Below are 1,892 nucleotides of genomic sequence, written 5' to 3'. Positions count from 1 at the left end.
CCGGTGCGGTGGCTCATGCCTGTAATCCCAGCACTTTGGGAGGCCGAGGCGGGTGGATCACGAGGTCAGCAGATCGAGACCATCCTGGCTAACACGGTGAAACCCCGTCTCTACTAAAAAAAAGAGCGAGACTCCATCTCAAAACAAAACAAAACAAAACAAAGAATTCTTGAAGCTGCTCTGCAGATCTGTGGCTCCTGTGGGAAGGAAGCAGATATGCAGCTTCTCCTACTTTGTCTCCAAGAGAACCTTGGGTTAGATCAACGTTGTTTTGGTGTAATTCTACACTTTTTAGACAAACTCTCAGTAAATCTACAGCCATATTTGTAGTCAAAAGAAGTAACTTCTGCATTGGTTCTTTGGCATATTAGATAGTCAGGGAAAGGCACATCTGAGAAAAATCAAATAACAAATGCTTGTTTTGTAAAAGATACGCATGTGGGGCAAGCATTGGAGCCCATATGGCACTCCTCCTGCAGCTGTCTGTGGCCACACGGACACGCCAGTCATGCTGGTCTTCTGTAATTACATGGCCATGAAGGTTCACATGGGACAAATGTCCCTCATTACATCTGTAATGTCATCTGATTTCAATACATTGTTGTTACTTTTGGTTTCCATAGCATAATGCCACTTTTTAGAATAACAGTATCTAAATGAAAAAAAAAATTGTGATTTTGTTGGGGCATGTGTCCCGCAGACAATATGACAGAGTACCAAGTCCGGGCTGAGGAAGATGTTGCAGGAAATAGGGTAGGCTAGCAGCCTGAAGCCACCTCACTGTAGATCTTTGCTAGTGCTCTGATAGGGAAGCTTGGGTCTAAGCTAAGCTCTGGGAGCACACAAGCAGGCAAAATGGAGACAACTTTCTGTGTAGGCAGCATTTAGAAAGTACTAATAGCAGTACCATGAGTACTTGGTGTATCTACCCCGGATGTGCAGAGGGAGAGGAAAGGGGAGAATGTTGAAAAATGGCAAATATTTTTAAGTTTTCCTGCTTTCTCAAGTGAGAGCTATGGATATGCTATCCAACTGGCACCCAGCGTCCCAGAGGAGGGTAGGGCGAAAGTCAAAAAGCAACATCCTTATTTAGAAGCACTGAGCTGGATGGAGTTAGAGGAGCCATTTTCTTTCATTTGTTCATTTGACACTATATATATATAGTACATATATACGTGTGTGTACATATGTGTGTGTGTGTGTGTGTGTGTGTGTGTGTGTGTAGAGAGAAAGAGAGAGGTGGCGGGTAGAGAGAGTGACTGAGGGAAAAAGCTTGTCAGTCACACATCGGAGAAACAAAAATAATAACAATTTTGAATTTTTTAAATTTTTGTGTAAGTGATTTAAAAATTAAATGTGCCAAAAAAAGGATGAATTTTGATGATGTGACCGTGTGTAGCACTTGATTTATGACTCTGAGTATTATATTGTACACTAATGGGATGAATACTTGTTTAAACTCACCCCTTGACCACACTGTGCATCACAAGGTCACTCACAGTGATAAAGGTGAAAGAAAAGATGAACAGGCCGGGCGCGGCCGCTCACCCCTGTAATCCCAGAACTTTGGGAGGCCGAGGCGGGCGGATCACAAGGTCAGGAGATTGAGACCATCCTGGCTAACACGGTGAAACTCTGCCTCTACTAAAAATACAAAAAATTAGCCGGGCGTGGTGGTGGGCGCCTGTAGTCCCAGCTACTCGGGAGGCTGAGGCAGGAGAATGGCGTGAACCCGGGAGGCGGAGCTTGCAGTGAGCCGAGATCGCGCCACTGCACTCCAGCCTGGGCGACAGAGCGAGACTCCGTCTCCATAAAAAAAAAGAAAAGAAAAGATGAACAATGTTGATGACTCTAACATCTGGAACTTTTAAATTGCCATTATGATTTTCATT

The sequence above is a fragment of the Homo sapiens genome, chromosome 13 (assembly GCF_000001405.40).
Source record: "Homo sapiens chromosome 13, GRCh38.p14 Primary Assembly".
Classification (NCBI taxonomy): Eukaryota; Metazoa; Chordata; class Mammalia; order Primates; family Hominidae; genus Homo; species Homo sapiens.
This window is presented reverse-complemented; position numbering follows the sequence as displayed.